The sequence below is a fragment of the Homo sapiens genome, chromosome 2 (assembly GCF_000001405.40).
Source record: "Homo sapiens chromosome 2, GRCh38.p14 Primary Assembly".
NCBI lineage: Eukaryota > Metazoa > Chordata > Mammalia > Primates > Hominidae > Homo > Homo sapiens.
The window spans coordinates 61,484,623-61,498,078 of NC_000002.12; the positions used below are offsets into that span (position 1 = coordinate 61,484,623).

The 13,456-nt window shown below is 39.9% G+C and overlaps 1 protein-coding gene across 24 annotated transcripts in view; it reads right to left on the reverse strand.

Moving 5' to 3' along the window:
- The window catches only part of XPO1 (exportin 1), a 60,764-nt gene that overhangs the window by 6,774 nt on the left and 40,534 nt on the right, over positions 1 to 13,456 (reverse strand). For 18 of the 24 annotated variants that reach the window (XM_047445764.1, XM_011533097.2, XM_005264544.3 and 15 more), the window contains 11 exons: positions 12,257 to 12,385; positions 10,833 to 10,991; positions 9,272 to 9,469; positions 8,293 to 8,431; positions 7,945 to 8,126; positions 7,703 to 7,859; positions 7,413 to 7,576; positions 6,020 to 6,154; positions 3,966 to 4,149; positions 3,543 to 3,649; positions 1,146 to 1,340 (listed from right to left, as the gene is read on the reverse strand). In XM_047445764.1, the coding sequence (XP_047301720.1) occupies positions 1,146 to 1,340; positions 3,543 to 3,649; positions 3,966 to 4,149; positions 6,020 to 6,154; positions 7,413 to 7,576; positions 7,703 to 7,859; positions 7,945 to 8,126; positions 8,293 to 8,431; positions 9,272 to 9,469; positions 10,833 to 10,991; positions 12,257 to 12,385 (1,749 nt within the window). The remainder of the gene's footprint in view (positions 1 to 1,145; positions 1,341 to 3,542; positions 3,650 to 3,965; positions 4,150 to 6,019; positions 6,155 to 7,412; positions 7,577 to 7,702; positions 7,860 to 7,944; positions 8,127 to 8,292; positions 8,432 to 9,271; positions 9,470 to 10,832; positions 10,992 to 12,256; positions 12,386 to 13,456) is intronic. The other 6 variants (XM_047445771.1, XM_011533098.3, XM_047445767.1 and 3 more) reach the window with 1 other exon arrangement.

The following is a 13,456-nucleotide window of genomic DNA, read 5'->3' on the forward strand; positions in this document are numbered from 1 at the left end:
CATGCCCAGCTAATTTTTTTTCTTTAGACAGAGTCTTGCTCTGTCACCCAGGCTGGAGTGCGTGGCGCGATCTTGGCTCACTGCAAGCTCCGCCTCCCGGGTTCATGCCATTCTCCTGCCTCAGCCTCTCCGAGTAGCTGGGACTACAGGCGCCCACCACCACACCCGGATAATTTTTTGTATTTTTAGTAGAGACAGGGTTTCACCATGGTCTCCATCTCCTGACCTCGTGATCTGCCCACCTCGGCCTCCCAAAGTGCTGGGATTACAAGCGTGAGCCACGGCACCCAGCCTAATCTTTGAGTAGAGATGGGGTTTCACCATGTTGGTCAGGCTGGTCTTGAAATCCTGACCTCAGGTGATCCACCGGCCTCGGCCTCTCAAAGTGTTGGGATTACAGGTGTTGAGCCACCACGCCTGGCCATTTTTGTATTTTTAATAGAGATGGGGTTTTGCCACGTTAGGCAGGCTGGTCTTGAACTCCCGACCTCAGGTCATCCGCCCGCCTTGGCCTTCTGAAGTGCTGGGATTACAGGTGTAAGCCACCATGGCCAGCCTATTTTCTCTTGTTAACACATTTTTCAGTTTCTTATAAGCATATACTACACTTTTATAATTGAAACATGCAGACTTACTTTCTCATTTATTCAAACCAATTAATACAACTACGTTCATAAAAGGATGCCCCGACCTATGAGGTTTCAATAAATGCTACATACCATGTGAATGCTAAAATCTGTTTTCCATATTTACTTTTTACCAATCAAGATTCTGTGTAGTAAATTCTTCTTCTTGGAGTGCAGTGGCGCAATCTCAGCTCACTGCCATCTTGAACTCCCAGGCTCAAGTGACCCCCCCCCCCACTTCAGCCTTTCGAGTAGTTGGGACTACCGGCACATGCCACCATGACTGGTTACTTTTTGAACTTTTTGTAGAGATGAAGTCTCACTATATTGCCCAGGTTGGTTTCAAACTCCTGGGAAGTAAGTTCTTGAAAACCAAGAAAGTATTTCCCTAATATACAAGTTTAAATATTTAAACTCCATGGCATTAAAATTATGTTATATCCACAGACATACTTTAGCTTTCAAGAATTAAGGCTATCCTGCAGAATTTCCCCCTTACATAACTGAAATATTACACACCTTATTTATCATATTCAATGTGCATTCAAAAACAGCATCAAATATTTGAGGTATTTCAGCTGTTATATGTCCCCCTAACTTGTTGACAATTATGGCCATAGTACTAAGCACTTCTGGTTCTCTAGCAGCTGGGACATTTCTCTGATAATCAATGAGAACTGCATCCAACAGAGGGGGAACAAAATTTTCAGCGACCTGTTGGGGAGGGAAAAAAAAGTTATGTTTTAATTTAGGTACATGGTGACTATTTTAAACAACAAGGTTATTCCTGTCTATGAGATGTAGCATGATCATCTACTGAAAACAGGAAAATCTTGTGTTTGTATTAGGGTTTCCTACGTCAAAACAGTTTTTAGCAAAAGAAAGCAGGAAATCACAATGGGTTGGGAAGTCTCATGGACACACTGTCATTCAAGACTTTTTTTTTTTGAGACAGTCTCACTGTCACTCAGACCAGAGTGCAGTGGCAAATCTCTGCTCACTGCAACCTCCACCTCCCAGGTTCAAGCAATTCTTGTGCCTCAGTCTCCTGAGTAGCTGGGACTATAGGTATAGCACCATGCCCAGCTACAAAACTCTCACAATAAGAAAAGTGAGGCTCAAAATTCAGTGGGTGTCTCCAACTTAGGTGGCAGAATCAGGATTCTACGTATACTGTATATGTAAGATGGCAGCAAGCGAGCCCTCAATACTGTCTTTTTATTTTTGAGACGGAGTCTTGCTCTGTCGCCCAGGCTGGAGTGCAGTGGTGCCATCTTGGCTCACTGCAAGCTCCGCCTCCAGGTTCACGCCATTCTCCTGCCTCAGCCTATCGAGTAGCTGGGAGTACAGGCACCTGCCACCACGCCCAGCTAATTTTTTATATTTTTAGTAGAGACGGGGTGTTTCACCGTGTTAGCCAGGATGGTCTTGATTTCCTGACCTCGTGATCCACCCAACTCAGACTAATGTTTTAATCTAATGAATGCTAACTGGTGAGTATTTTCACAAGCAGAAATAACATCAATCAATTACTCTCAGAAAATAAGAAAGACTATGGATTTCTATTATTTTTTTGAAACTGAATCTTGCCATGTTGCCTAAACTGGACTTGAGCTGGGGTGATTCGCCTGCCTTACCCTCCCTGGTGGTTGGGATTACAGGTGCATGCTACAATGCCCAGTAAGATTTTCATGATTCTAAGTAAACTGAGTTATACTTAAAGAGTAACTTCTTGTTCTTTTTTTTTTTTTGAGACGAAGTTTCCCACTTGTGGCCCAGACTGGGGTGCAATGGCGCAATCTTGGCTCACTGTCACCTCCACCTCTGGGGTTCAAGTGATTCTCCTGCCTCAGCCTCCTGACTTCAAGTGATCCACCCGCCTCGGCCTCCCAAAGTGCTGGGATTACAGGCATGAGCCACCGTGAAAAGCCAAGACAAGGAAAATAAACACAATGTTTCATGTGAACAAATATCCCAAACTTTAACATTAATGTTACAAAAGATGATACCCTTTGTATTATTCCCACTGTGCTCCCGACACGTGCTCAAGCTTCTTGTAAATTACAAACATCACAATTCCTTCAATACATCTTACTTTCTGCTTTCAAATTTTAAATACAGTTCTGTTCACATAATACGCATGTTCAGAACCTTTCGATATTTAGGTTAGCCAACTTAAGTATTCCACAAGAATTATATTCAGAACAAGTTTACTGAAAAGTATTTCCTTAACAAGAAACAATACTGAAATTTCAAAACTATGAAAATAACTAGCACACTTGTAAAAAAAAAAACCAAAAAACAAAAAACCAACACTATTCCAAGTAATAGTAGTATTAGAATTTTTTGGACTCTCCCAAGGCTCAATTGAATAACAAGAATGAAACGATACAGTTAAAACCTAAAACTAATTCACAATTTTACAAGTTGAGGCATACGCAGCTGGTTTTTATTACTGAAAATGATTTCCTTTTCTGCAAATCATTTAGGAAAAAGGGTGTAAAAAAGACTTTCAGGCCTTTAATCTGGGAAGCAATCACTTTGCTAAAGAGGTAAAGTAATGACAACTTTGTAGCTCTAGCAATTGTTCTAAAAATCAAGAGGAATGCAAAAACTGCACCGGTACTCCATTAATTAAATCCTCCTAACCTATCTATGGAAACATAAAATGACCCAATTTTCTTAGCTATCTTGTTACATATCACCACCCTTCGCTACTGATTAACAGCAGTTTCTTTTGAAGATGGAATACAGCTATTAGTATATTAACGTAAGGACTACAATAAATAAAATGCCATAAAATAACCACAAAGTTGATATGCTTTAAATTAGCAAAATGCACATAATAGAGTATAGCATATTCCATAAAACACAGCATCAACACTAGAAATCAAAAGCAAAGCATCTCTCACTTACCATCTGTGGATCATTGGATCGGCTCACCCAACCAGATATTAACTTTAAAGTTTCCCTTTTTACAGTTCGCATACTTCTAATCAATGGTTGCTTTGTAACCATTTCACCTACAAAACAGAATCAAATGGAATCTAATTTTACCACTAAACTTATACAGTGGTACTCAGGTGTACATTAGATGCAATTCCATTTTACCATTAAAAAGTTTAAAGCCAAAAGTTCACAAAATTTATTGGGAAAATAAGCTTTAAGACTAATTTTAAAAGGGAAAGGTACACTTAACTGTTTTAAATATGTCTAGGGTCATTTGGGAAATGGGAGGTCTGATTTAAATCTGTAAAAAACATCAAATGTTTGACTTAAGGCAGTAGAAGAGAAGTGGTTTGTTTATACTGCATTGTGTAAGAAATCAGAATCACCTACCATTAGCTTGGATAGCTGCAGAAATATTTTCACTGAGGCACTTGTATACATTAAGCATATCTAAATAAATTCTTCCAAGCTGAATTACAAAGGGGTGTCCAACAGCTTTGCAGGCTCTCACATTTGTTTTCAAAATGCTACCAAGCTGCTTGACTGTTTCAGGATCTTTCAGTATATCCACATTCTTGGAGGAAAAAAAGCAAATTCCATTTATCATATAAGAATTATCCACGGCTGGGAACAGTGGCTCACGCCTGTAATCCCAGCACTCTGAGAGGCCGAGGCGGGCGGATGATGAGTTCAGGAGATCGGGACCATCCTGGATAACACGGTGAAACCCCGTCTCTACTAAAAATACAAAAAAAATAGCCAGGCGTGGTGGCAGCCGCCTGTAGTCCCACCTACTCGGGAGGTTGAGGCAGGAGAACGGCGTGAACGCTAGAGATGGAGTTTGCAGTGAGCCGAGATCGCACCACTGCACTCCAGCCTGGGCGAAAGAGCAAGACTCCGTCTCAAAAAAAAAAAAAGAATTATCCATCATAATGGCCAGGCGAGGTGGCTCACACCTATAATCCCAGCACTTTGGGAGGCTGAGTCGGGTGCATCACCTGAGGTCGGGAGTTCAAGACCAGCCTGACCAACATGGAGAAACCCTGTCTCTACTAAAAATACAAAATTAGCCAGGCACAATGGTGCTTGCTTGTAATCCCAGCCACTTGGGAGGCTGAGGCAGGAGAACTGCTTGAGCTCGGGAGGCAGAGGTTGCAGTGAGCCGAGATCACGCCATTGCACTCCAGCCCGGGCACCAAGAGTGAAACTCCATCTCAAAAAAAAAAAAAATCCACATAATTACCAAAGCAAAAGCCATTACGCTTCCCTTACCCTAAACCATATTTATAATCCCAAATGGTAAAAACGAACACAAACGCCTTTTTGTCTACATCTACTTAAGAATGAAGTAATATAGTTCTATTTTTTTTTTTTTGGGACGGAGTCTCGTTCTGTTGCCCAGGCTAGAGTGCAGCGGCGTGATCTCGGCTCACTGCAAGCTCTGCCTCCCAGGTTCACGCCATTCTCCTGCCTCAGCCTCCTGAGTAGCTGGGACTTACAGGCGCCCGCCGCCACACTCAGCTAATTTTTGTATTTTTAGTAGAGACAGGGTTTCACTGCGTTAGCCATGATGGTCTCGATCCCCTGACCTGGTGATCCGCCTGCCTCGGCCTCCCAAAGTGCTGGGATTACAGGCATGAGCCACCACACCCAGCCTATTCCTATTTTAATATCAAATGAGAATGGAAATTACAGTATTTTTTTTTTTTTTTGAGACAGAGTCTTCCTCTGTCACCAGGCTGGAGTGCAGTGGCATGCTCTTGACTCACTGCAAGCTCCGCCTCCTGGGTTCAAGCCATTCTCCTGGCTCAGCCTCCCGAGTAGCTGGGATTACAGGCGCCCACCACCATGCCTGGCTAATTTTTGTATTTTTAGTAGAGACGGGGTTTCACCACGTTGGCCAGGATGGTCTCAATCTCCTGACCTAGTGATCCACCCGTCTCGGTCTCCCAAAGTGCTGGGATTACAGGCGTGAGCCACCGAGCCCGGCCCAGATTTTTCATTTATTTTTTTTTTTTTGAGACAGAGTCTTGCTCTGTCGTCTCGGCTAGAGAACAGTAGCTCAATCTCGGCTCACTGCAACCTCTGCCTCTTGGGTTCAAGTGATTCTCCTGCCTAAGCCTCCTCAGTAGCTGGGATTACAGGCATGTGCAACCACGCCCAGCTAATTTTTGTATTTTTAGTAGAGACGGGGTTTTGCCATGTTGGCCAGGCTGATCTCGAACTTCTGGCCTCAGGTGATCCGCCCGCCTCGGCCTTCCAATGTGCCAGGATTACAGGCGTGAGCCACCACACCTCGCCCAGATAATAAATTATAGAAAGACACACATAAAAGCACTTATGGATCACACATACATGTTAAAAGGCTTGAATTCAATACATTTGTAAAGAACACGTCTTGTTAAATCCCATGAAAACTTTTAAGAAAAGGTAGAAATACTTACTTTGGTTGCCTGCTGGATTATACTATCCCACACTTGATTAGGGAGTAACATGTACTTTTCTATCAAGTGTTCTTGTACTGTTTGATCTGTTTGTGCACCAATCATGTACCCCACAGCTTCATAAAACGTATGAACCTATTTTAAAAAGCAGACATTTTAACGTTTATGTTATACACCCTAATAAGGAAAACCACACACAAGCAATTCACAAACGTCTTGAAACTGATTTTGGCCCAGGTGCAGTGGATCACTCCTGTAATCCCAATACTTTGAGAAGCCAAGGCAGGCCAATCACTTGTGGTCAGGAGTTGCAGACCAGCCTGACCAACGTGGTGAAACCCCATCTCTTCTACAAATACAAAGAAATTAGCCAAGCGTGGTGGCAGGTGCCTATAATTCCAGTTACTTGGGAGGTTTGAATTGCTTGAACCTGGGAGGCAGAGGTTGCAGTGAGCCGAGATTGCAATACTGCACTCGAGCCTGGGTGACAGAGGAAGACTCCACCTCAAAAAACAAACAAACAAACAACCCAAACTGGCCAGGCATGGTGGTGGCTCACGCCTGTAATCCCAGCACTTTGGGAGGCCGAGGCGGGCGGATCATGAGGTCAGGAGTTGGAGATGAGCCTGACCAACATGGAGAAACCCCGTCTCTACTAAAAATAAAAAAATTAGCTGGGCGTGGTGGCAAGCACCTGTTAATCATAGCCACTGAGGAAGAGAATCGTTTGACCCCAGGAGGCAAGGCTGCAGTGAGCCGAGATTGCGCCACTGCACTCCAGCATGGACGACAGAGTGAAACTCCATCTCAAAAAACAAACACACACACACACACACACACACACACACACACACACCCCAAAACAAAACAAAACAAAAAACACCTGATTTTGTTTGTTCGGAATAATTTTACATAGGACAACAGCCTAACAATCTTCTGGTCAAGAATCTGTCTCACTATGAAAATTTAACCAGGCTGGGCGTGGTGGCTCACACATATAAAATCATTTTGGGAGGCTGAGGCAAGCGTATCGCTTGAAGCTAGGAGTTCAAGACCAGCCTGGGCCACTTGGCAAAACCCCATCTCTACCAAGGGGGGGAAAAAGGTTAGCTGAGTGTGATGGCAGTGCATGCCTGTAGTCCCAGCTACCCACGAGGCCAAGGTGGGAGGATCACCTGAGCCTGGGAGTTCAAGGCTGCAGTGAGCCGTAATTGTGCCACTGCACTCAAGCCTGGGCAACAGAGTAAGACCCTGTCTCAAGGAAAAAAGAAAGAAAATTTAATCAGAAACACTTCTATTGGATCCAATAGTTGCCCTCCTATTTCCATTGATACATACAGATTGATACAAGTGTTACTTTCTAAAAATAACATATGCTCAGTGCTTAACATACCTGTTGAGGCTGAAGATCACAAATAATAGTGTTAATGTTGTTCAAAATTTCATCAATAAATGGCATCACTTCTCCAACCTGAACCTGAACGAAATGCCTGCGGCATTTTTGGGCTATTTTAATGAAAGTATCACAAGCCATATCCTGGACTCCATCATGGGTCTCTAACAAGACAAAAATATTCATTTATTTTGTCCTGGACTCCATCATGGGTCTCTAACAAGACAAAAACATTCATTTATTTTCTTCAATAAAAATAAAAGCAAAATATAGTAAAGAAAGAGATTTACCATGCATGAATTCGAACAGCTTGTTAACTACAGTCTTCAGAAATTTCCAGTGAGCTCTCAAAAAACGTGGGTATTGACCTACTATGTACATGATATTTGATGCAATAATAGCTTTATTATCTTTGCCTCTTTTCTGTTCACATAATCCTAATAGATCCTGTAAATAAGACAAATTTGTATTATTTATTGTAACAACATAATACTTATTTAGCAATTCTAATTCATACCTATCCCTTGCATACCTTTATAACAGTAACAAGAAATCGTTTTTCGTCCTCTTCATGCATTGCTCCACTAATGGAGCCTATTGCCCAACACAATGTATTCAAATTTTTCCATGACCACTCTGTACCATTCACTTGATTGTGAAGCTTCTCTGTCATTATTCTTTCTGTATCTACATAATCCAGATGAGTAAGATAAACTACAAAGAAAAACATGGTTTCAAATGCAAATAATGAGCAGAATTTTATTGATGAGTAACAATACATTTAGAAAATATTTAGAAACTACAAGTACATTTCCTAAAATGTATTTCCACCCCAGAATAGATTTATAAAGGTAAAGATTAACAGTATTTATTAACTTACCCAATGTTTCCCTCATATTCTTATACAAATTTATGGAATCTGTATCCTTCATGAATTCTCTCACAACTTCTCCTTGATCATTCTCTACAACCAATACTTCCTCTGGTTTAGCCATTCGACTAACCATTAATAAACGGACCTATACTCAACAATATATCAATCAAGAAAAAAATCGTTAGATCACTGAAATCATTAGTGTAGAAGCTTAGTTAAAAACAAACAAAACCAAAAAAACCACAAGCCAGCCATGTGTAGGGATTCATGCCTATAATTCCAACTATTCCGGAGGGCCGAGGCAAAAAGAACTGTTGTGGCCAGGAATTTGAGAGCAGCTTGAGCAACACAAAATGACACCCAATCTCTAAAACAATAAAAATACTGGGGCTTAAAGCACAACAGAAAAAACTATGTAAATATAAATGAAGTAAAACTAAAAAATTTAAAATTTGCTAGGCATGGTGGTGTGTGCCTGCAACCAATTACTTGGGAGGCTGACACAAGAGAATTGCTTTAGTCTAGGAGTTCAAGATTGTAGTGAGCTATGACCACGCCACTGCACTCCAACCTGAGCCACAGAGCAAGACCCTGTCTCCAAAAGAAAAAATTTTTTTTCACTGTAATTCTACAAAAATGGCTTTATAATTATTTAAGTGTGTTTTAATGTGATTTTTTTAACCAACTTCTGTTACAGGAGTTTCCTGTGTCTCATTCCTAGACTCTGGTTTAGTAGATTGGCAGGTGGCCAATGAATTTGCCTAACGAAATCACAACCAATGTTGATACTGAGAGAAGGACCACACTCTTGAGAATCAAGGTTCTAGACTCAACTCCTTTCATGTTCTAGTTTTCCACACTCATGGAGAAGTTGTTGGGTTCTCTTTTTATAGCTAATTTATTTACACAGATTAGAAGTATTTGGATTCAGACCTCAAAACCACAGTATGCAACAGGAAGAACACTCAACCAACCGCTCTGTTACCTTGAATAACATGGGCAAATATAGCTGTCTCCTGGGAGGAACATCAAAATGTTGACTTCCAGAAAGCAACGGAGAGGCAGATGTAGAGAATGGACTCTCTCTATAGAGTTCAGCAGCCAAATGATTCCAGTATTCAAGACAAATTTTAAAGATTTCAGTTTCTTCTACTTCAGATACCAACAACATATAATGAAGGGCCTACACAGAAGACCAAAACTGTTAAAATAATTCTTAAACATTACCAACTTCAAATTGCTTTTCACTTGTTACACCTTAAGGGAAAATAAAAATTCATGTTTTATTCATCACAACTCAGATTTCAATACTTATCAAATAGACAGCAAACTCTGGAGTAACTCTGCTTCTTCTGACATGCCCTAAAGCACTTCAAAAATCTCTCACATAGTAGTTGATCAATATGTATTTTTATCATGTCTCCTAATGGAACGACATTTATTTAAAAGGCCTTGGGTGCCAATAAGTGGTATCACAACCCAAATGTACCATCACAGAGGAGAGAACAAACAAAATACTGAATATTCATACAATGAGAATATTCTTCAGACATGATAAAAAGTGAGGTATTGATACAGGTTACAACATGGAAGAACATTGAAAACACAACACCAAATAAAAGAAACCAGACACAAAAGGTCACATGCATGATTCCCTTTATATGGTATAATCAGAATAGATATATCTACAGAGACAGAAACCAAAATAATGGTTGCCAGAAGTTGGGGAGAGAACAAAGGAGAAAGTGACTGTTTTAGGGGTAAAGGGTCACCTTCGGGTGATGAAAATGTTTTGGATCTAGGTATTAATGGTTGTATAACATTGTATATATACTAATATGCCACTGAATTGTGTGTGTGTGTGTATATATATATATACTTATGTTTATATATATATATACTTAAGTTTATATATATATATAAAGAGAGAGAGAGAGACATTTTCTTCCTTCAGACAGAGTCTTGCTCTGTCACTCAGGCTGGAGTGCAGTACTGTGATCTTGGCTCACTGCAACCTCAGCCTACTGGGCTAAAGCAATTCCTGTGCTTCAGCCTCCTGAGGAGCTGGGATTACAGTCATGTGACACCACGCACAGCTAATTTTTTTGTATTTTTAATAGAGACAGAGATTCACGATGTAGGCCAGGCTGGTCTCGAACTCCTGCCTCAAGTGATCCACCCACCTCCGCCTCCCAAAGTGCTGGGATTACACGATGAATTGTATATCTTTAAATGAACAAATGCATGTTATTTGAATTAAAACTGAAATTTTAAAATAAGGTCTTTGAAATTTTAACCTTAGAAATGATATAATAATTAGTAATTTAATTTTGATTATAAATTTTTAGTCCTAGCTTTATGGAGAACATAAAATCAGAAAACTGGGCTTATAACTGTAATTCAGAATTGAGAATATATATAATGTACTGATCAAATATTAAGTAATAAGAAATCTCAAAAGGTACATACATTTTAGAAAAAGGCACTTTTAAGAGTTATTAGTAGGCAGAGCAGAATTTTAGGAGCAAAAGCTCCACATATCTTACCTCCATAAGAGTTTCCCTGAGATTTAATCTTTTTTCTATAAGTTGATCATGTTCCTTAAGAAAGGTGCAGAGAAACAAACTGAGATTTTGAATGAAGTTCTGTTCATCATCTTTTCCATTTGAGTACGCAAGTCGAATATTGGTATTTAAAGGAAGCATCTGCAAATTTTAAAAGGGACGATCAGTTCGCATTTTATAAAACAACTAAAGACACTTAATATTTTATTATTATTTTTTTGAGACAAGGTATCACTCTGTCCAGGCTGGAGTGCAGTGGTATGACCAAAGCTCACTGCAGCCTCCACCTCCTAGGCCCAATCAGTCCTCCTCAGCCCCTCCCGAGTAGCTGGAACCACAGGTATGTGCCATCGCACTAAGCTTATTTTTAACATTTTTGTAGAGACGGTATCTTGTTATGTTGTCCAGGCTGGTCTCAAACTCCTGGCTCAAGCAATCCTCCCACCTTAGCCTCCCAAAGTGCTGGGATTAAAGGTCTGAGCTATTGCACTCAGCCAACACTATTATTTTTAAGCCCTAATATCCCAACACCCTTTTGCTAATATTAAACCACATACAGAACTCCTAGGTCCAGTATACCTATTCTTATATCTCTAGGACTTAGATTTTGACTCTTCTCAAATAAATTAAAGGCCGCTATCACAGCCTTTAAATTTTTCTAGTATTTCTCACTGACATTGAAAAATGTAAAAATAATCAATTCATTCATTCAGATCACAAACATACATAGTAATCTATCTTTCCTTGTTTTTTAAAAGAGACAGGGATTTACCCTGTCATCCAGGCTGGAGTGCAATAGTGTGACCATAGCTCATTTTAACTTTGTATTAATAGGCTCAAGCGATCCTATTGCCTCAGCCTCCAGAGTAGCTGGAACTACAGGTGTGCAACACCACAGCTAGCTATTTTTTAAATCTTTCGTAGGTATGGTCTGGTTATGTTGTCCTGGCTGGTCTCGAACTCCTGGCATCAACTGGTCCTCCCATTCTGGCCTCCCAAAGTTCTGGGATTACAGTATTAACCACCATGCCTGGCCATGAACACAGTATTATGAATAACCTTCTAGATCATTTAATAGATAACCAATCAAACTAGGGCTGAAAAGAATTCCTTCAGACACAATGTTAGGAACAAGTCCCAGGTTTCCCACTGTCTGGTCAGGTATCTCCCAAAAGACCAAGCTCCTAAAGTGTGCAGAAATAAATTACCACAACACACCCCAAACCTGAATTTTAAGAAATTTTTGGAAACATCATAAAAATTTGTAGCTTACTACAAATTTTATGTAATAAACAAAAGATTATGGCTTATCTTTGATACGTCGTTCTAAAATAACTCATTTGGAATTTGGTATTTTCTAAGGCACTAAAATTATTCAGCCAATTTTCAAGATAGTATTATATTACCTGCTTTAGTTGCATCATTGTCAGAGTAAATAGTGTTACAAATTGTTCTTCATATTGGCTTACACTCACACCAGCAATCTCAGTGAGGCACTTCAGAGAGACATTTCGAAACATTGGAACATTCAGGAACTATTTAAAAGGGGGGAGGGAACCATAAAATTAATTGGCCTGATACACACTTTACTTAAAATTCACAATTAAAAGGAAAAAGGCTTTAACAATTAAATATAGGGGTAGATGTCAAAAACAGGCCAAGTGAATGAACATATTTTATCATGCAGATATACTGAGAGGGAATTTTATTGCCTACCTAGTATACAGTAAATGCTTTAGGAGCAAACTTTTTTTGTTTTTTTGAGACAGAGTCTCGCTCGCCCAGGCTGAAATGCAGGGGCTTGATCTCGGCTCACTGCAACCTCACCTCTTGGATTCAAGCGATTCTCCTGCCTCAGCCTCTCAAATAGCTGGGACTACACATGCATGCCACCACGCCCGGCTAATTTTTGTATTTTTAGTAGAGACAGGGTTTTGCCACGTTGGGCCAGGCTGGTCTCGATCTCCTGACCTCGTGATCCGCTCACCTCGACCTCCCAAAGTGCTGGGATTACAGGCGTGAGCCACAGCGCCCGGCCTAAACTGCTTTCTTTTGATGTGTCCTAAAATAACAAGGCTCCTTAACAACTTTCCTAGAATCTGTGATATGACTTTTAGGAATGTTATACTTTCTGTGTAATTACACAGGACCTAAAACTTGTGATTGCTTAGAATTTTGGGAAATGGTCAATGTATCTAAGAGTAATAAGAATATGGGAAAATTGGCTTATATATTCTATTGTTGAGAAGATAAACAGTTATCGTCTGGGGTTGGAAATCAGGGGGCATTAAAACCTTAAAATTAAACATACCTAATAATCTGGTGATTAAACATTAAAATATTTAAATAAATTAATGTTTGGACAATTGCATAATATCTTATGTCTGAGAATGTTCTCTGTAGGACTGTTGACAATAGAAAGGTTTTTACATAATTAAGCAATAAACTGATCATTCAAATACTATAAATCCATATTATCTTACCAAACTAAACTACGAAGTTGAAGAGGTCAAGTTATAATGTTCCAATTAGATACTTAATTTATTCATTATATCAGTCAAGAAAACATCTGAAAATATAATACAACCAACTGGTAACAGTGATTA